This window comes from Homo sapiens, chromosome 17 (genome assembly GCF_000001405.40).
Source record: "Homo sapiens chromosome 17, GRCh38.p14 Primary Assembly".
NCBI classification, from domain to species: domain Eukaryota; kingdom Metazoa; phylum Chordata; class Mammalia; order Primates; family Hominidae; genus Homo; species Homo sapiens.
Window position 1 is genome coordinate 5,491,671 of NC_000017.11, and position 21,178 is coordinate 5,512,848.

At 47.4% G+C, this 21,178-nt stretch overlaps 4 protein-coding genes across 4 annotated transcripts in view, besides 2 other annotated features; all 4 read right to left on the reverse strand.

Annotated features, from left to right (window-relative positions):
- On the reverse strand, window positions 7,757–9,336 carry LOC728392 (uncharacterized). The gene is made up of 2 exons (NM_001162371.3): window positions 8,361–9,336; window positions 7,757–8,280 (listed from the first exon to the last, which is right to left on the reverse strand). The coding sequence occupies exon 1, from the start codon at window positions 9,284–9,286 to the stop codon at window positions 8,927–8,929; it is 360 nt and encodes a 119-aa protein (NP_001155843.1). The 5' UTR covers window positions 9,287–9,336; the 3' UTR covers window positions 7,757–8,280; window positions 8,361–8,926.
- On the reverse strand, window positions 7,757–9,336 carry LOC124900388 (uncharacterized). The gene is made up of 2 exons (XM_047437232.1): window positions 8,361–9,336; window positions 7,757–8,280 (listed from the first exon to the last, which is right to left on the reverse strand). The coding sequence occupies exons 1-2, from the start codon at window positions 8,651–8,653 to the stop codon at window positions 8,133–8,135; spliced, it is 441 nt and encodes a 146-aa protein (XP_047293188.1). The 5' UTR covers window positions 8,654–9,336; the 3' UTR covers window positions 7,757–8,132.
- Window positions 8,334–8,900: an enhancer, noted in NCBI's record as "H3K4me1 hESC enhancer chr17:5403324-5403890 (GRCh37/hg19 assembly coordinates)". NCBI's record gives its function as "activates a minimal SCP1, AML or CMV promoter by ChIP-STARR-seq in primed H9 embryonic stem cells {active_cell/tissue: H9 hESC(primed)}" and the evidence as "EXISTENCE:reporter gene assay evidence [ECO:0000049][PMID:30033119]".
- Window positions 9,233–9,652: a silencer, noted in NCBI's record as "silent region_8072". NCBI's record gives its function as "represses an Ori minimal core promoter by ATAC-STARR-seq in GM12878 lymphoblastoid cells {active_cell/tissue: GM12878}" and the evidence as "EXISTENCE:reporter gene assay evidence [ECO:0000049][PMID:35858748]".
- Window positions 9,726–21,178, reverse strand: part of NLRP1 (NLR family pyrin domain containing 1) — an 83,114-nt gene continuing 71,661 nt past the window's right edge. The window contains exon 16 of the mRNA NM_001033053.3: window positions 9,726–10,202. Within this exon, the coding sequence (NP_001028225.1) occupies window positions 10,144–10,202 (59 nt within the window). The 3' untranslated portion in view covers window positions 9,726–10,143. The remainder of the gene's footprint in view (window positions 10,203–21,178) is intronic.
- Window positions 20,282–21,056, reverse strand: LOC101928044 (zinc finger CCHC domain-containing protein 9-like). Its single transcript, XM_047437231.1, has one exon. It carries the CDS (start codon window positions 20,955–20,957, stop codon window positions 20,370–20,372), a length of 588 nt encoding a protein of 195 aa, XP_047293187.1. The 5' UTR covers window positions 20,958–21,056; the 3' UTR covers window positions 20,282–20,369.

Genomic DNA, 21,178 nt, shown 5'->3' on the forward strand with positions numbered 1-21,178 from the left:
GAGGATATAAGCTATCTATTAAGGAAACTACTGCTGAGGCCTTGACATTATTATATGCAGTAATATGGTTCATCTTAATACAGTTAAGTATGGTCATGACCTGGATAGAAGGGTGAAATCCAGTGTTTGAACTCGGGTCCATTTTGTGTTGAGTACATGCTTAATAATTGCTGGACATTACTGTTGCTGTTTGTTATGGTGGTGTCTCTGCAGAAATAATATAGTTGACCCTATCATCCTCTAAAAAGTAAATTCTCCCTTCAGAAATTTATGACTAAATCAGAATTATATACAGTTGTTTACCCATTCTCTGCTTCCCTGGAATGCAAGGTTGTTTTAACGTGTGAAAATGCATCAATAGAACAGAATAAATAGAACCACTATAGAATAAAGGATAAAATTGTCCCATCTCCCATCCAGCATCAATCTCACCCAATTTCTCACTTTCCCCCCCACCCCAATATGAGATCCCATTGTTCTGTAATACCAAACCTTCCCTGGTTTTATTTATTCTCTACTGTCATGCCTATTCACCATTACATAATGGATGTAAATGCAAAAAAAAAAAAATTCTTAACATAGCTGGGTGCAGTGGCTCATGCCTGTAATGCCAGCACTTTGGGAGGCTGAGGCAGGCAGGTCGCCTGAGCTCAGGGGTTCAAGACTAGCCTGGGCAACATGATGAAACCCTATCTCTACTAAAATACAAACATTAACCAGGTGTGGTGGCACGCTCCTGTAATCCCAGCTACTTGGGAGGCTGAGGAACAAGAATTGCTTGAACCCGGGAGGTGGAGGTTACAGTGAGCCGAGATTGCACCACTCCACTCCATCGTGGGTGATAAGAGTGAGACTGTCTCAAAAAGCAAAAAACAAACAAAAATTAGCCAGGTGTGCTGGCGTGCACCTGCAATCCCAGCTACTCAGGAGGCTAAGGCACGAGAATCACTTGAACCCGGGAGGCAGAGGTTTCAATATGAGACGAGGTCCTGCTGCCGCACTCTAACCTGGACAACAGACTGAGACTCTGTAAAAACAAACAAACAAACAAACAAACAAAGCCAGGCATGGTGGCTCACGCCTGTAATCCCAGCACTTTGGGAGACTTGATGTGGGAGGATTGTTTGAGCACAGGAGTTCAAGACCAGCCTAGGCAACATAGTGAGACCCCATCTCTACAAACACTAGAAAAAATCAGCCAGGCATGGTGGTGCATGCCTGTAGTCCCAGAGACCTGGGAGGCTGAGGTGGGAGGCTAGCTCAAGCCAGGGAAGTTGAGGCTGCAGTGAGCCATGGTTATGAACACTGCACTCCAGCCTGGGTGACGGAGTGAGACCCTGTCTCAAAAAAAAAAAAAAAAATACTCAACAAAATATAAGTAAATCAAATCCAGTAGTATATAAAAAGGATTATACACGATGACCAAGTGGGATTTATCCCAGGAATGTAAGGTTGGTTTAACTGCTGAAAATGAATTAATGAAATACACCACCTCAATAGAATAAAGAACAAAAACCCTATGATCACCTCAATGGACACATAAAAACATTTGACAAAATTCAACACCCCTCCATGCCAAAAACACTCAACAAACTAGGAACAGAAGGGAATTTCCTCAACCTGATAAAGGACATCTATGAAAAACTCACAGCTAACATCACACTTAATGGTGAAATACTGAATATCAGGAAAGAAAGCAAAGGAGGCCCACTTTCAGCATCCTATTCAGCATTTGCTGAAGATCTTACCCAGGAAAGTTTCCCAAGAAAGAGAAATAAAAGGAATCCAGATTGGAAAGACAGATCGTATCTGCAGATGATATAATCTTGTAGAAGACCATTCTGTTGTCATCTTAAACTATTAGAACTAATAGTTATGATTATTAGAACAAATAAATGAGTTTCAGCAAGGATTCAGAATATAATATCAATGTAAGAAAAGCTATTATTTTTCTTTTTTTGAGATAAGGTCCCGCCCTGTTGCCCTGGCTGGAGTTCAGTGGCAAGATCTCAGCTCACTGCAGCCTCAACCACCCGGGCTCAAGTGATCCTCCCACTTCAGCCTCCAGAGTAGCTGAGACCACAAAGAGCTTGCCACCATGCCCGACTAATTTTTTAAATTATTAGTAGAGATGAGGTCTTGCTATGTTGCCCAGGCTGGTCTCAAACTCCCAGGCTCAAGTGATCCTCCTGCCTCAGTCTCCCAAAGTGCTGGGATTACAGGCACGAGCCACTGTACCAAGCCTCAATTATTTTTCTATGCACTAGCAATGAGCAAACAGGAAATCAAATTGAGAAATCAATTCCATTTTGAAGACACCAAAAATAAAATCCTTTGAAGAAATTTAACAGAAAATGTAGAAAACTCATTGTATTAGTCTGTTTTCATGATGCTAATAAAGACACAATCCTTATCAAAATTCTAATTGACTTCTTTGTAGAAATTGGCAAGCTGATCCTGAAATGTATATAGAAATTCAAAACACCTAGACTAGCAAAAGCAATTTCGACAAAGAATAACAAAGTTGGAGAACTCATACTTTCCAATTTCAAAATTTACTGCAAAGCTATAGTTATCAGGACTGTGTGTTAATGGAATAAAGATAGACATATAGATAAATAGAGGTAAGAATCCAGGCCAGGCGAGATAGCTCATGCCTGTAATCCTGGCACTTTGAGAGTTCAAGGCAGGTGGATCACTTGAGGTCAGGAGTTCAAGACCAGCCTGGCCAACATAGCGAAACCCTGTCTCTAATAAAAAAAAAAAATACAAAAATTAGCTAGACATGGTGGCGCAAACCTTTAATCCCAGCTACTTGGGAAGCTGAGGCAGGAGAATCACTTGAAGCTGGGAGGTGGAGGTTGCAGTGGGCCGAGATCATGCCACTGCACTCCAGCCTGGGGGACAGAGTGAGACTCCATCTCAAAAAAAAAAAAAAAAAAAAAAAAAAAAAGAGAATCCAGAAATTAACCCTCACACACACACAAATATTTTTAAAAAACAACAAAAACCAGAAATTAACCCTCACATTTACAGTCAAATGATTTGGATAAGGGTGCTGGGATAATTCAATGGGGGAAGAAGAGTCTTCTCAACAGACAGTGTTGGGATAACTGGACGCCCTCATACAAAAGAATGAAGTTGGATCCTACTGCACACCATGTACAAATATGAACTTAAAATGGATCAAAGACCTACATTTAAGAGCTAAAACTATAAAACTCTTAGAAGAAAACATGTATTAGGTTTAAATCTTCATAATCTTTGTGGGTCAGTAGTTTCTTAGCTATGCCACCAAAAACATAAGCAACAAAGGAAAAATAGATGAACTGGATATCATCAAAATTTAAAACTTTTGTGTTTCAAAGACACCATCACAAATGTGAAAAGACAACTCACAGAATGGGATAATAAATTGTAAATCATTTAATAATGGACTTGTATCTAAAATATATAAAGAACCCTTAGACGCCAGGCGCGGTGGCTCACGCCTGTAATCCCAGCACTTTGGGAGACGGAGGTGGGCAGATTGCCTGAGCTCAGGAGTTCAAGACCAGCCTGGGCAACACGGTGAAACTCCGTTTCTACTAAAATACAAGAAATTAGTCAGGCATGGCAGCGTGCACCTGTCATCCCAGCTACTGGGGAGGCTGAAGCAGGAGAATTGCTTGAACCCAGGAGGCGGAGGTTGCAGTTTATGGTGCCACTGCACTCCAGCCTGGGCAATAGAGCGAGACTCTGTCTCAAAAAACAAACAAACAAACAAACCATCTCTACAAAAAATACAAAAATCAGCTGGGCATTGTGGCGTTCACCTGTAGTTCCAGCTACTTAGGAGGCTGAGGTGGGAGAATCGTGTGAGCCCAGGAGGTGAAGGTGGCAGTGAACCAAGATTGGGTCACTGCACTCCAGCCTGAGTGACAGAGCCAGACCCAGTCTCAAAAAAAACAAACAAAAGAAACAAAAAATGTCCCAATATCAATTGTAATGGTTGCACAACTCTGAGTATACTAAAAGCCATTGAATTGTACCCTTTAAATGAGTGAGTTATGAGTTATATGAATTATGTCTTAATATAGCTGGTAAAAATAAGAATACACACTCCAGAAACAATGCCTGGGTTCAAAATCTTGCTCCATTGCTGTGACCTTGGGCAAATCATTTCACCTATGCCTGTTTCCTCATCTGCCAAATGGGAAGAATAATAGAACCTACCTCATAGGGTTGTGAGAATTCAATGAACTCACACTAAATAAAACACTAAGCCGCCACATGTTTAAATTCTATCATTAACAAAGTGAGCTCCATGAAGGCAAGGGTTGTCTCTGTTTTGCTGATAATTATCTCCAGTGCTTGGACTCTAACAAGCAATGACATAGTTAAAAAATTAATCTGGCCAGCCACGGTGGCTAACGCCTGTAATCCCAGCACTTTAGGAGGCCGAGGAAGGCAGATCACCTGAGGTCAGGAGTTCGAGACCAGCCTGACCAACATGGAGAAACCCCATCTCTACTAAAAAAATACAATATTAGCTGGGCATGGTGGTGCATACCTGTAATCCCAGCTACTCCGGAGGCTGAGGCAGGAGAATTGCTTGAACCTGGGAGGCGGAGGTGGAGGTTGTGGTGAGCCAAGATTGTACCTTTGCACTCCAGCCTGGGCAACAGAGCGAGACTGTCTCAAAAAAAAAAAAAAAAAATCAATTTTCCCAGTATCAGTTTCTACTGTTTCAAATAGCTAAATTTCAACTGTTTCTCAACAACTTAAACTTACTACTGTTCCATGATATTCAGAACCACTGCTTACTTCACTGTCTCCATATATTTACCTACCACTGACAACCCAAATTGCCCGAAACAGTTGGCTTTACCTTCATCCTTTGTGACTTACCGAAAGTCAGTTTACTGGATATCTGATATTTTCACCTGCCTAGCATCCATGGCTCTTCAGTTTTCCTCTGGGAACTATTCCTTTCCTATTGCATGCTATTTTCACAGGATTGCCTATTAAGATAACTCTTCTGCCTTTTAGCCAAAGATGGGCATGTGACCCCAGCCAGGCTAATAAGACTCTAGAATTCGATTCTTGAGCAGCACAGCACAAGGACCCCAAAAATGGGTCCTTGTTTGTTTGTTTTTTCCTTTTGTTTTATTTGGAGATGGGGTCTCTGCCATGTTGCCTAGCTGGTTTCAAATGTCTGGCCTCAAGGGATCCTCCTGCATCAGTCTCTCAAGTAGCTGGGACTACAGGTGTGCATCACTGCACCTGGCTTGGGGGCCCATTTGTTTTTATGGTCTAAAAGGCTGTCCGTGTATACTAAGCAGACAGGGAAAGGCTTGATATTTTGGACAAAGGAAACTCTTACTGGACTCCCAGAAATTGGAGGACAGTTGCAAGCTCAATATAGGTAAGCAGTAACTGTGAAATTAGGTGGGCAGTAGGGAGATATGTCATCACATATTCCTGGGATACGTAAACTATAACTCAAACTATATAAGAGGAAAATTGGCCACCTTAGATGCATGATGATACTAAAAGTACACGCTTATTGTGTGTACACATTGAAGTGTACAGATTAAGTGTACACTTAATACTTAGGATTAATACTTAGGATTAAGTGTACACTTAATACTTAGTGAGGATTAAGTGGTATCTCATTGTGTAGATGGCGTGAGAGTAATGGAAATTTAATATTGATTAGAAAATACAGGCCAGGTACTGGAGCTCTATGGAACCAGGAATTTGAAGGAGAGTGAAATCGGGAGAAGTATGGGGAAGAGAGATGGGCTGATAGGAGAGAATATGGGGGTATGGGAAGAAAATGAATTTGGGGGCTGGAGTGAGTTTAATATTGGAGACAGCAGTGATGGGGTGAGTGTCAAGGAAGACTGGAGTACAATATTGAGACAATAATCAAGTATTTGGGGAACAACGCAATAAATACTGAAATAAGGGGATCAAATGGGGCTGGATATTTAGGAGAATATTGAAGCCAATATTAATATTGTAGAGGCAATAAGATCTAATAACAGTATAGTCATGGGAACCAGGTGTTGGAATCTGGGGTAGAAAATGGAGGCCCAGACCAGGCACAGTGGCTGACACCCGTAATCCCAGCACTTTAGGAGGCTGAGGCGGGTGGATCACTTGAGGTCAGGAGTTCAAGACCAGCCTGGCCAACATGGTGAAACCCCGTCTCTACTAAAAATACAAAAAAATTATCCGGGTGTGGTGGCACACGCCTGTAATCCCAGCTACTTGGGAGGCTGAGGCAGGAGAGTTGTTTGAACCCAGTGGCAAAGGTTGCAGTGAGCCAAGATCAGGCTACTGCATTCCAGCCTGGGGCACAGAGTGAGTCTCAGTCTAAAAAAAAAAAATTAGCTGGGCATGGTGGCACGCACCTGGAGTCCCAGCTAGTTGGGAGGCTGAGGCACGAGAATTGTTCGAACCTGGGAGGCGGAGGTTGAGGTGAGCTGAGATCATGCCACTGCACGAAAAAAAAAAGAAAAAAAAAAAAAAGAGAAAATGGAGGCCCAGATTTTGTGGCACAAAAAGGGCCATGATATTGTGGAACAGTGACTGAATATTGAGGAACAGGGACCTTTGGTTTTGGGAACAGGAGGAGGAGTCTACTATCAGGAGATTGACGGAGGAAAGGAAGCTGGGGGATCACATACTGAGTAGTCACTAAGGGACTGTATGAGAGAGAACAGGGCATGTATGAAAGGGAAACAATGAGATCAAATGTTTGGAGAGCGCTAGGCTATATATTGGGAGTCCGTGAGTACTCAATACTAAGCGATAGCAGAAGATCGAATATCCACGATTGAAAGGTGGAAACCAGTGAGGGATAAATATTGTGGTCCTTTGGAGACATTTTTTTTTTTTTGATACGGAGTCTCGCTTTGTCGCCCAGGCTGGGGTGCAGTGGCGCGATCTCGGCTCACTGCAAGCTCCGCCTCCCGGGTTCATGCCATTCTCCTGCCTCAGCCTCCCGAGTAGCTGGGACTACAGGCGCCCACCACCACGCCCAGCTAATTTTTTTTTTTTGTATTTTTAGTAGAGACGGGGTTTCATCATGTTAGCCAGGATGGTCTCAATCTCCTGACCTCGTGATCCATCCGCCTCGGTCTCCCAAAGTGCTGGGATTACAGGCGTGAGCCAACGAGCCCGGCCTGGAGACCTAATTTTGGGAAATAGTGCCACCGATTGCTGTGGGGGAATTGTTGTAGTAAAGTGTGATTGTAAAGCACAGGCTGACATTGGGGAACCGTGGATGTCATACTTGTGGCACCGAAACAAGTGTCCGGGGGCAAGATATCAAGGCACAGAGTGATATGGGATTATGGGAAGTCAGAACTGAGAAATGGCAAGGCCCTGATATTGGAAAACAGGGCGTTTGTAAAGACCCAGGGGGAAAATTCCAGAGCTTAGCTGGGGGGCCGTACTCGGTCTTCAAAATGGAGGCAAGTGGAAACGAAATACTGAGGGGCAGTAGGTAATGCCACAATGGGATAGTGGCTGATCTGCCATAAGGGATGGTAGACTCGGATACTGGCATGTTGTGAGGACCTGACGTGGAGAAAGATGCCATTGAAGGGCCTTGTAGCTATTTAGTGGAGGGAGAGGCTATATTTTGGAATGCTGGGTCACAGGATTAAGTCTGTTTTGGAGGGACAGTGGGGATGCTGTGGAGCAGACTAGGAAGTTTGGCAGAAGAAGTTAGAAGAGTTGGAAATTAATGGAGAACTGAATATAGAGGAGACTGAAAAAGATAATTTATTCCATCAGAGGCATCACAATTACAGATTACAGACATTTGCAAGTAAATAATATGCAGGGTTAGAGCGCTGCGTTTTAACATTTAACATTCATGAGTAAACAGAGATGGCCGGTGGGTAAATATCTTGCCAAGGTGGTTCCTGGTATTAAGCCTTTTGAGTCTTAAGATGACAAATCCCTAGGGATCAGGTGGTTTTCCCGCACGAACTCTTGTCAATGAGAAATCCCTCAGCCCCTTTTGTCTTGGGTCTCACAGCTCCAGAAGTGAGCCGGGCCAGAACGAAGCCATCCTAGAGTCCCCAAGGACAGCCCTCCCGTGGACCCCGGCTAGGGCCCCCAGAGTCTCATCCTCAGGAGTGCGCCAGCTCTGGGCCTGCGTGCCGGCGGGGTCTGCAGCCACAGGTCCCGCGAGTCCCGGACACTTCCAGGACGTGGTCTCCTGGTGAGACAGCTCCTCCGGGTACCAGTCTCGACTCCTCCGGGCAGCGACAACAAAGTCTAAGGCAGGAAAAACACACAGTCGTGGTCAGCCGGAGCCCCTGGGGGCGCAGCACGACACCCCGACGAACGCCACTTACCGAGTCCCGCCCTCCAGCTTCGCCTGCTGCGCGCTCTTGTCCTCTCTCGGCCGCGCCAACTCTGGGGCACAGCTGGCTCCTCCTGGGGGCGATGCAGCATCACAGGGCTCCGGCCCACCCCGGGCCAGGGCGCCGACCCTCCCTGCCGGACCCTCTCTAGAAGGCCGCGGGTCTGGGTCTGGCTCATCCCTTAAAGATTCCAAGATTGGGCGCACTCTGAGCTCCCCAAACACAAAATGATGGGATCCCTGCGCGTGCCCCCACGTCACAGAGTGGTAGGGGTCCAGGGGCATTCTAATTATAAACGGGGCTCAATCACACCCCAAAATTCTAAACGCCTCCACCCCTAACCTGCAGGTGCAAACAGCACCCCTATTTCATTGCCGGCAGCTACTTTGTACTTTCGTACTGATAGACAAAGATAGTGACAACAAAGACGGAAAGAAACAAGCATCGAAAGCTACATGAAGGGGGTGCAGCGCTGTTCTAAAACACAAAATGCCGAGCCCCGTTTTCCCTTTCCCTCCCCGCTCGGTCCTGCGCCCACCCCGTCCCGCGCTGGCCACTCAGGCAAGCTGTAAATGGATATAGGTAAAGATGCAGGAGGTGATGGAGAAGGCGATGGCTGCGTAGATGAAGATGGAGAGGTGCGGAAAATGGTCGAGATAGCAGCCCTCGTCCAGTGGAGGCGCCTCCTTCTTGGGCGGGGGGCGCGATGCGGCCTTCGGGGGCTGCCCGGCGCGGCCCCCCTGCGCCCTCCCGCCCGCGCGCCGACCAGCCTTCTTGCCCGCGGCCGACGCCGACCTGGGCCCGCGGGCAGCGGGAGGGTCTTCCGGGGGAGGCTTGTCAAACAGGCCTTCGGACTCGGGGTCCGGGCGAATCTGCTCGAGACCCCAGGGTCTGCGCCGAAAGAGCCCGTCAGCCATGGGCAGGATCGCGGGTAGGTGGGTCAGCCGGGTCTGGGTCAGAGCGCAGTGGGCGGTGGGCGGGGCTACGGCTGTATTTCTAGCGACCCGGGTGGGGGCGGAGCCAGAGGGGCAGGGGGCCTCTGCAGGGTCCGCCGGTCCTCTCAGCTGAGGCGCCGCTTCGCCTGGCTCCTCCTTCCGCCCCCAGCCTGTTGCAGAGGCTGGCTCGCCGGGTTCCAGCTCCGCTGCCTGCGGCTCGGCAGTCTCTGCGCAGCAAGGTTTGTCTCCATGGCAACCAGACTGGCGGCGCAAGGGGGAGGAAACGCGAGCCGCTGGCTGGGACCCCGGGGCACTAGTAGGCTTGGCACCTAAGAAGCCGAAATGCAACCAGCCAGGCTCTCAGCTGCGTGGGGAGCTTCCCCAGGGCATATTTCTCCTTTTAAAAGAAATATTTATTGTGTGGTCTGTTTTAAATTTTAATCTTAATGCGTGAAAAAGCTAACACATCATCTTTGTAGAAAACTAGAAATTGAGAAAACAGTGTAGGCAAAATCAGTAGTAAAATAAAGCCTCCCACAATCCCAAGGTCCAGAGATAATACAGCTCAAGAATTGGTGCATTTCTCTGCCTTCTTCCTTTTTTTTCTCTGTCTCTCCATCTGCATCTGTATGTGTACAACCTGTTTTCTCTTCTTGCTCTTCACCCACAAAAGCAGGCATCCAGCCTTTTGAGCATCTCGCATATGATTAAGAACAAATCCTTCAAAGACCTGCCTCACCTAAGCCCATTTCTCAGACCCACCTGCGGTCTACTCAGGCCTCCTTGTCATCCACCAAGCCCTCTCTGGCTTCATTGGTACTGCCGCAGGCTGCTGGGCACTAGTATCTCCTGGCGTCTCTGTTGCACCTGAGGTTCCACGGCTGGCTGGTGTTCCTTCCTGGAATGGAGGGAGAACAATCACTTGGATTTATTTGAGTCCCAGTAGATTGGAGAGGTCCACTGGCCGGCTTTGTTAGTTGCAGCAAATCCAACTCAAACTGCCATCAGAGAACTCCCTGCCTCCTGCAAGTGAAAGGCCCCGGGGTGAACCAAGGCCAGGATGCTGAAACGCTGTAACCAGGGTGCTGTTCCTCTCTATCCTACAGCGTTGCCAGGGACTTCTTGCATGGCCAGAGCCTACTAGGTAGTGGTAGGTACTCAGGTTTTTGCTGAATGAATGATGCAGTGAATAACGGCAGCAGCAAACTCTGGTTCTCACAGCTTAACCACCTCAGCTAAAAGGGCTTCCAGTTGGCTGGATGAGGAGAAGATGGAACCCTCATCCGTGATGTTGAGAATGTAAAATGGTGCAGTTCCTTTTTTTTTTTTTTTTGAGACGGGGTCTTGCTCTGTTGTCCAGGCTGGAGTGCAGTGGAGCGGTCTCGGCTCACTGCAACCTCTGCCTCCCAGGTTCAAGCGATTCTCCTGCCTCAGCCTCTGAGTACCTGGGATTACAGGCCCACACCATCATGCCCAGCTAATTTTTTGTATTTGCAGTAGAGACAGGGTTTCACCACATGGGCCAGGCTGGTTTTGAACTTCCTGACCTCAAGTGATCCACCTGCCTCGGCCTCCCAAACTGCTGGGATTACTGGCATGAGCCACTGCGCCAAGCCGGGTGGAAGTATATGAAGGGTGAAATTGAAAGGTGTGGAGGGTGGAATGGAAGGATGGTTTAGGTGGAGTGAAAGAATGTGAAGAATGGAATGGAAGGTTGCAGAAGGCAGAATGGAAGGACATGGAAGGACCAGAGAGTGAAAAGTGGAATGAGAGGATGTTAAGGGTGGCACGGAAGAGCTTGAAGGATGTCATGGAGGGGTGTGAAGGGTGGAATTGAAGGGTGTGAAGGGTGAAATGGGAGGTTGCTTAGGGTGAAATGGAAGATGTGAAGAGAGAAACGGAAGGACATGTAGTGGACTGGAAGAGTGTCAAGGGTGGAATATAAGGTGTGTAAGGTGGAGTGGAAGAATATGAAGGTTGTAATGGAATGGCGTGAAGAATGGAATGAAATGGTGTGAATGAATAATGGACTGGAAGGGTGTGAAGGGTGAAATGGAATTGTGTGATGCATGAATGGAAGGATGTGAGGCTAGAATGAAAGGGTGTGTAGGGTGCAATGGGAGGGTTTTCAAGGTGGAATGGAAGGGTGTGAAGGGTGAAATGGAATTGTGTGATGGATGATTGGAAGGATGTGAGGCTAGAATGAAAGGGTGTGTAGGGTGCAATGAGAGGGTTTTCAAGGTGGAATGGAAGGGTGTGTAGAGTGGGATGGAAGAGCTTTATGTAAGGCTGTGGCATTGAGAAAGTCACCCAAACCTACCTATGCAGCTTAAGTGGGAGTAGGTAGTGGGGAAGTCTCAGTAACCAAGAGGGTCTCGGGCAGAACCATGCAAAGGCTTATTGGGGAGGAGCTGGGTGTCAGTGAGGAGTGCAGGTGTTAAAAATGCTTTAGTAACTGCAGGGTCCTTTGCATATTGAGAAGATGTGAGGCTAAATCCGGAGCTCAGACAGCAGAGGCCCAGGTGTCTCTAGGACACCTTATTATTTTTTACCTGGTCTACCTGTACAGAAATGAATATATCACAAAACAGTGCTGGTCCCAGCCCAGGTGACCCCTGGGGGCTCTGTCTGTCAGGAATTGAGAGAGCTTGGCTGACTCCATGGCCTCATCCTGGTGCAAGCTATGCCTATGCCCAGCAACAAGAGCTAACTTCGTCCCAGCCCAGGGACTTCAGGACCACTAGACATCCCTGACAGGACAGATACTGGAAGATCCCAAGCTACAACTTCACACTCTGCTCGACACCAGAGCGTTCCAGGAAAAACCTCATGAGTCCAGGGCCTGGAGCCAGAATCCACCAAAAAAAAACCCTGAATGGACAAAGGCTACCTTTAGCTCCTGCTTCTGGGACCTGCCCAGAGTACATACCCCTCTCAGAGGTGAGAGAGGCCTCTTCTAGGGGGATCTTTTCTCCGGTGCTATACTTTGATAGGTTTCCTTCATCCATTTAGGGGTATTTGCCTCTGGAAGAAAGATACACTGTCTGAGTCAATAGGAATCAGAGATTTGAGTCTGCCAGGCCAAAGCCTGGATCTGGACAATGGCCAGTTGATCATGTTGGTGACCCCCTCTATGAGGAATCCTAGGACACACATGGATGATAGCAGCAGCAGCAGCAGCAGCCAATCACTGGCCACCGACTGTGTGCTGGGAACTGTGCTCAACATTTCTGCAGAGATGGTCTCACTTAATTTTCATGACCCCCTAAATTAGGCACCAGTATTTTCTCCAATGTTCCAATGAGGAAACTGAGGCTGAGAGGTGAAGGAATCTAAAATCTGCCACTAATACTGACTGCTGGGGGCCGGGTGTGGTGGCTCACATCTGTAATCCCAGCACTTTGGGAGGCTGAGGTAGGTGGATCACCTGAGGTCAGGAGTTCGAGACCAGTCTGGCCAACATGGCAAAACCCCCTCTCTACTAAGAATACAAAAATTAGCCGGGCATAGTGGCACATGCCTGTAATCCCAGCTACTTGGGAGGCTGAGGCACGAGAATCGCTTGAACCCAGGAGGCGGAGGTTGCAGTGAGCTGAGATCACACCACTGCACACCAGCCTGGGTGATAGACTGAGACTCTGTCTCAAAAAAATTAGAATAGAATAGAATAGAATAGAATAGAATAAAACACTGACTGCTGGGGTTCTAACCCACATCTCTCTGACCCAAGGGTAAGAGGTATACCTCCCAATCCCCTCAGCTACCCACCCCAGGCTTGCTCACCATCAAAGACTGTGCCCTGTTAGCCTTTCCCAGGCCGCATTCTGGGCCTCACCCTGCAGCAAAACAGACTTGTTCCCTTTAGAATGTGTACACAGAGCAAGAGGCAAAATTCACAAAGGCCACTTTTAGCTCGAAGTGTTCATGCCCAGCTGAGGAAACAGGCTTTGGTGGTGGTGGTGGTGGTGGGGTGTATGTGTCAGTGGGTGGGTGGGAGAGAAGGACCTTCTGGGAATCTCTGCTGCCTGGGCTATAGCTATTTGTTATCCTGGAAACCATGGCTGCCGAATTCCTCTCCTGCCAACTTCTAATTTATATGCGTGCCCTGGCTGGGAGAAGGGAAGTCAAGCCAGGAATCTCCCCTTTCCACAGGTCCTCTACCCAAACCCACAGTTGATGGGAAACCTGCAAGTGTATTGCAACCTCTACACTAGGATGTGCCTGGATAAGCCTAGTCACCTGCTGAAGGTGCTGTGGCACTTCTAGCCCAATGCAGGGTCAGCTGCCTGCCCCACCCTGAGAGGCTTCTGGGAGCTCACATCCAATGCTGATCATCCCCGTGCTCCACTCAATCCCCTGCTGGGGTTAGGGGTAGCAATGGTTGCTGAGCAAGGCAGAGAAGGGGAGGCTGAGTAAAGCCTGGGGCTCCACGGGGCAGACAGTGGGAAGCTAAGAACCTGTCTGGGCGCTGTGAGGTGGCACCTGGCAGGTGGGATTCCACATGAGCTGTGGCTCCAAGCCCCCCTACCCTCCCTTCCTGCCCCTATGCATGCTCCAGGTCCCATCAAACTTCACTTACAAAGCACAAATTCAAAGATACAATTATTAAGAGTTTCAAGGCACTGACTGCCACGCATTAAACCCCAAGCATGGGGGCCTACTGCCATTGCACAGGTTGCACTTCCAGGAAGCTGGCCCTACTCACACCCTATCGCAGGCCCAGTTTAGCCTAGCTGGGCACTGATTGCTTCTTCCTGGTCGTTGGTGAGGTTCTACATCAAATGATTAGCTTTCCACAGTGGGTTTTCTCCCACTAGAGAGAACTTAGCGCTTCCAGCATCTCAGCTTCATTCCAGGGCCTAGCAGAGCTCACCACTCTGGACATTTTCATCCTCTTCCCCGTTTTCTTTCACACACACAGACCTCTGCTCTCTACATATGATCTTCCTCAGAGAGAATAGATTTGGTTACTTTTGTTCTGTCCTCTTCTCTTTGTGCCGCTCCTATAGAACAAAAATCATCAAACAGGGCCAGGTGTGGTGGCTCATGTCTGTAATCCCAGCACTTTGGGAGGCGGATGAGGGTGGATCGCCTGAGGTCAGGAGTTCGAGACCAGCCTGACCAACATGGTGAAACCCCGTCTCTATTCAAAATACAAAATTAGCTGGGCATGGGGGTGGGCGCCTGTAATCACGGCTACCCGAGAGGCTGAGGCAGGAGAATCGCTGGAACTTAAGAGGTGGAGGTTGCAGTGAGCCGAGATGGCACCATTGCACTCCAGTCTGGGCAACAAGAACAAAAGTCTGTCTCAAAAAAAAAAAAAAAAATCATCAAACAGCCAATTCAGCAACATCATTCTTCTCCTTCCATTACTCTATCCACCCAGAAGCTGACCCACACTAAATGGTTAAGAACTGTGAGGATAATCCAGCAATTCCCCTGCTGGGTATATACCCAAAAGAGTTGAAAACAAGGTTTCAAAGAGATATCTGTACACCTATGTTCATGGCAGCATTACTCACAATAGCCGAAAGGTGGAAGCAACACACGTGTCCATCAACAGATGAACAGATAACCAAAATGTGGCATAGACATACAATGGGATGTTTTCCAACATTAAAAGGAAGGAAATTCTGGCTGGGTGAGGTGGCTCCCGCCTGTAATCCCAGCACTTTGGGAAGCCGAGGCGGGAGGATCACCTGAGGTCAGGAGTTTGAGACCAGCCTGGCCAACATGGTGAAACCCCAGCTCTACTAAAAATACAAAAAAAAAAAAAAATTAGCTGGGCATGATGGTCGACACCTGTAATCCCAGCTACTTGGGAGGCTGAGGCAGGAGAATGGCTTGAGCCCGGGTGGTGGAGGTTGCAGTAAGCTGAGACTGCACCACTGCACTCCAGCCTGGGCAACAAGAGCAAAACTCCATCTCAAAAAAAAAAAAAAAAAAAAAAAAATTCTGACACATGCAATACCATGGATAAACCTTGAACACTTTGTGATAAGTGAAAGAAGCAAGCACAAAAGGACAATGATTGTATGATTCCACTTATATAAGGTTTCTAGAGTGGTCAAATTTAAAGAGACAGAAAGTAGAATAGTGGTTCCCAGGGGCTGAAAGGAGGCAGGAATGGGGAATTATTATTTAATGGGTACATAATTTCAATTAAGGAAGATGAAAAAATTCTGGAGATGGACAGTGGTGATCGTTGCACGTCGAGGTGAATGTGCTTACACTTAAAAATGGTTGTAATCATAAACTATATTATAGATATATTCAACTAAAATAATGAAAAAATAACTGTGAGGACATTTTGTTCTCCCTCAAACTGTCTTCAAATAAATTAAATTAATTAAATTAAATTAAATTAAAGGTCTTCAAATTAAGGCCTTCTAAAATCAAAAGAAAACAAAAACCAGCCATTAAAGAATCAAGAAATTCAGCCGGGCATGGTGGCTCAAGCCTGTAACTCCAACACTCTGGGAGGCCGAGGTGGGCAGATTGCTTGAGTCCAGGAGTTCCAGACGAGCCTGGGCAACATGGTGAAACCCTGCCTCTACTAAAACTACAAAAATTGGCTGGGTGTTGTGGCTCACGCCTGTAATCCCACTGGGAGGCCGAGGCGGGTAGATCACGAGGTCAGGAGATCGAGTCCATCCTGGCTAACACAGTGAAACCCCGTCTCTATTAAAGATACAAAAAATTATCCAGGCATGGTGGCACGTGCCTGTAGTCCCAGTTACTGGAAACTCAGGAGGCTGAGGCAGGAGAATCGCTTGAACTCGGGAGGCGGGGGTTGTAGTGAGCCGAGATTGCGCCACTGCACCCCAACCTGGGCAACAAAGCGAGACTCCGTCTCAAAAAAGAAAAAAATTAGCCAGCGGCCAGGCGCAGTGGCTCACACCTGTAATCCCAGCACTTCGGGAGGCTTAGGTGGGCGGATCACAAGGTCAGGAGTTCGAGACCAGCCTGGCCAACATGGTGAAACCCCATCTCTACTAAAAATACAAAAATTAGCCAGGCGTGGTGGCGCACGCCTGTAATCCTAGCTACTCAGGAGGCTGAGGCAGGAGAATTGCTTGAACCATGGAGGCGGAGGTTGCGGTGAGCTGACATCGTGTCATTGCACTCCAGCCTGGGGGACAGAGCGAGACTCGGTCTCAGAAAAAAAAAAAAATTAGCTGGGTATGGTGGTGTGCACCTGTAATCCCAGCTACTGAGATGGCTGAGGCAGGAGAATCACTTGAACCTAGGAGGCCGAGGTTGCAGTGAGCTGAGATTGCGCCACTGCACTCCAGCCTGGGTGACCGAACGAGACTCTGTCTCAAAAGAAAAATAAAAATTAAAATAAATTTGTTTTGTAGAGACAGAGTCTTGCTATGTTGCCTAGGCTGGCCTTGAACTCCTGGCCTCAAGTGATCCTCCTTCTTGGCTTCTTAAAGTGTGAGAATTACAGGCTTGAGCCACTGCACCCAGCATGAGGGAAGCTATTGCAAAATATAGAAAGTCATGAGACTATTTATGCCCTTTGATACTATCCCTTAGTATTGACTTCAAGACAGTGATCTAAAGGATAACGAAAAGCTCTCTGCAGAAAGACGTGTATTGCAGTACTGCTTATTGTGGCAAAAAATTGGAAGCAAACTCAATGTCAGAACAAGAGGAGAATAGTTAAGTAAATGATATATCTACTGCAAGGAGTCATGCAGGGGAAGATTATCCTGAAAACTCTTAAGTAGCTTGAGGGATGCTTGTGATGATCTAAATCAAAGTCAAAAAAACAAGGTTTAAAACCCCATGTACTAGGATGATAACAAGATGAAAATGTGTTCCTGCAGAGAAAGACTGGAATGGAAAGAGGAAAGACAGAATTTTTGTATTGTTTGGATAATGAGATCATGGGGTGACTTCTTTCTCATTTGACCAGAACTTGTGCACCATGGTTATATTAGTTTCTGTGCAACAAGGCCAAAAAAATCTAAGTAATGGACCCAGTGGCCATTTTCAGGATTAACAATACTCTGTGATGGTCTGATTCATGCCCACGCAGACAAAGGTCCTTACCTAACCGCCTAGATGGCCCCGCATTGCCTAGCAACTACCTGCTTAACAGCAGTTGCTAGGAAACCAAGAACACAGCAGGACTCCTGACCAATAGCACAGCGTCCATACTACTGCTAGACTTCCCTTCAAGTTCTCTCCAACAGTCATGCTCCTGTCTAGCCTTTCCTCTTCTTCTCCTATTCTCCTCCTTCTCATTCCTACCTGCCTGGGGCTAACCTGTGAGTAGCACTCAATGGGGTCCCCACAATCATACAACCTGACACAACACAGGTAATCACAGGTTCCAGAGGACCTTCTTCCTTCCCCTGCTTCCTTCTTGCTCCAGGACTGGGGCCTGGACCAGAGTGTGTGCATGGCTCAAAGTTTAAATCTGTAGTTATCCCACCATTGAGACAAGTATTGCTCATGGCCTCTATCGGATTCTAGCACCTGGCAAATCCTACTCCTTGGGAGAGTGACTCCTTCAGGAAAGGCATTAAGCTCAGCCCAGGGCTCCCACCATCCATCAGAGTGCCTGGTGGAAGCATTCCATGATTCTTCCGTTTTTCTGAGATGGAGTCTCACTCTTGTTGCCTACACTGGAGTACAATGGCGTGATCTCGGCTCACTGCATGAGCCAGCACGCCCAGCTCATTTTGTTTGTATTTTTAGTAGAGATGGGGTTTTGCTATGTTGGCCAGGCCGGTCTCAAACTCCTGACTTGAGGTGATTCATCCGTCTCAGCCTCCCAAAGTGTTGAGATTACAGGCGTGAGTCACCTCGCCCAGCCAAATCCATGATTCTTGAATGCATTCTTTGACAGGGGTCCCTGTTCCAAGTGGCCCACTTTAAAGAGAAAGAAAACTTCATGTAGGGTGGATTAGTCTGAACACAGTGATCCTGGAAGACTCCAATTTTCCACCATTGTTGAGAATGATCCCTGCTGCCCTGCACTTCTCATTCCCATCATCTCCATGTGCTGTTCAACCGTCACATCCATTCTGAGGAAGTTGCCATCTATCTCTATTCAAAAAGATCTTTCTTCTATTCTTCTTCTTCTTTTTTTTTTTTAAATAGAGACAGTGTCTCACTATGCTGCCCAGGCTGGTCTCAAACTCCTGGACTCAAGCAATTCATTGGCCTCAGCCTCCCAAAGTGCTAGGATTATAGGTAAGCACCCAGCCAATTATTTTTATTTAGAGACAGGATCTTGCTCTGTCTCCAGGGCTGGAGTGCAGTGGCATGATTATGGCTCACTGGAGCCTAGGCTCAAGGGACCCTTCTGCCTCAGCCTCCAGAGTATCTGGGAATACAGGCATGTACCACGATGCCCGGCTAATTAAAAAAACTGGTTTTTTTTTTTGAGATAGAGGCTCGCTCTGTTGCCCAGGCTGGAGGGCAATGGCGTGATCTCGGCTCACTGCAACCTGTGCCTCCCACGTACAAGCAATTCTGCTGCCTCAGCCTCCCGAGTAGCTGGGGTTACAGGCACCTGCCATCATGCCCAGCTAATTTTTGTATTTTTGTAGAGACAGAGTTTCACCATGTTGGCCAGGCTGGTCTTGAACTCTTAAACTCTTAACCTCAGGTGATCCGTCCGCCTTGACATCCCAAAGTGCTAGGATTACAGGCATGAGCCACTGCATCTGGCCAAAAAAATGAAAAAAAATTTTTTTTTTTAAGAGACGGGGTCTTGCTATGTTGCCCAGGCTGGTCTTGAACTCCTGGTCTCAAACTCCTGGTCTCAATAGATCTTCAGGCCTTCGCCTCTCAAAGTGCTGGGATTACAGACATGGGTGCGTATTTCGTATCTCCTTGCCACTAGAATATAAATTGCTTGAGAATAGATACTCTGGCCTCTGTTATCACTGGCACCTACAACAGCCTCAGGCTCAAAGAAGCTAAGATTTACTGTCTGCCTAGTGTTGTGTACCAGCTCGCCCAGAACAACTTCCCACTCATGAGCTCACCTAGTCAAACAACCGTTTGACGCAAGCTTTGCTATTCCCTTCTTACACATCTGAAAACCTGTTTCAAGATCACACATCTAATGGGTGGTAGAGCCAAGAATTTGATTCCCAGCTCACTGCCTGTCCCTCAGAATTCTAGCTGTTGCTATTAGAATCCAGATCCAGGCCGGGCACGGTGGCTCACACTTGTAATCCCAGCACTTTAGGAGGCCGAGGCGGGCGGATCACTTGATGCCAGGAGTTCGAGACCAGCCTGGCCAACATGGTGAAACCCCGTCTCTACTAAAAATACAAAAATTTATCCGGGTGTGGTGGTGGGCGCCTGTAATCCCAGCTACTCGGGAGGCTGAGGCAGGAGAATCGTTTGAACCCGGGAGGTGGAGGTTGCAGTGAGTGCAGTGAGCTGAGATTGCGCCACTGCACTCCAGCCTGGGCGACAGAGCGAGCCTCCGTCTAAAAAAAAAAAAGAGAATCTGGATCCAAAGCGGACATGCATGTGTGTCTCCCCCATCCCCACACACTTGTTTGTGTCTGGCCTTTCTCCTACTCCAAGACTGGCTCCACTTCGGGGCTCGCTGCCATGGAGACGACTCCAGATTTAGGAATACATTTCCTAGGCTTCCGGCAACTAACGTGAGGACTTGCTGGGATGAGGGACGGGGAGGTCTGCAGAAGGAGGCGGGGCATGCGGGGGTTGCGGGGCTTAGAGGGTTGGCGGAGCCCCTCCTCGCGTAGGTCCTTCCTTCTTTCCCTCCCTCCCTTTCTCTTTTCTTTTTCTTTCTCTTTCTCTTTCTTCTTTCTTTCTCTTTCCTTTCTCTCTTTCCTTCCTTCCTTCCTCTTTTTCTTCATTCCTTCCTCTTCCTCTTTCTCTTCCTTTTTCTTTCTCTCTCTTCTTTCTTCTTTCTCTCTGTTGAAAATTGTTTTTGACCACACCCAGATCATACTGATATTTACAGTATAGTCCTGGCTACAAGGGAGCCCAGCTGTAACTTGTGAAGTGGGCCTGGTTTAGAAAGTAACAATGAGGTGGTAACTAATGACAGTACTAGTTGTTATCAAAAATTAACACCTTTAGGTATTTTTGTTTTGGGTTTTTGTGGTTTTGGTGCATCCACAATGTCTTCATAGTCTGCACTTATTCCCTTTGCCCACAGACCAACTGTGGCCATTCGATCTGAATTCTCACTTTCAGGGCAATCTTTCTTTAAATGTTCCACAGAGCCATGAAGTTGGCAACCACTACCATCAGCATAGAGTCCTTTGGGATTATCAGGACAAGATCTAGACAGGTGCCCCATTTCTCCACAGACAAAACATTCTGCAAAAGGACATTCGCCAAGAGGCGGGTCTACTTTAGCCTTACACTTGGTTATTTCGTGATCTGTGGACCCACACTTGTAACATCTTCTAGTGCCCATATCTTGATTTTCAAGGGCGGCAGGGCAATCCGCAATTCCACGACCAGGTTTTCTACAATGGAAACACACCATTGCATTTTTCTTTGCCCCTTGTCTTTTAAATCTTCTTACTTCCCATTGACTGTCCTCTTGGAGGAAGGGTTGTGTGGAGAGTGGAGGTCTGCATGTGGTAAAGGAGATGGGTGGGTGGGGCGTGAAGGACCCGAAAGACAAGGCCAGTCTCATGGGTGTGTGACCTGTGCGGTCACACAGAGCCCTGAGCTCAGCAGGGCCTGGCGCTTGATTTCATGTTCTGTTGTCACCGTCTTGACATTCTTATCATTTTTGAACGAGGGGCCCTGTGTTTCCATTTTGCACTGGGTCCCACAACTGCTGGAGCTGGTCCTACAGGAGGGTGAAAATTAGCATATAATGAGCAGTGAGGACAACCAGGAGTCCCTTTCATT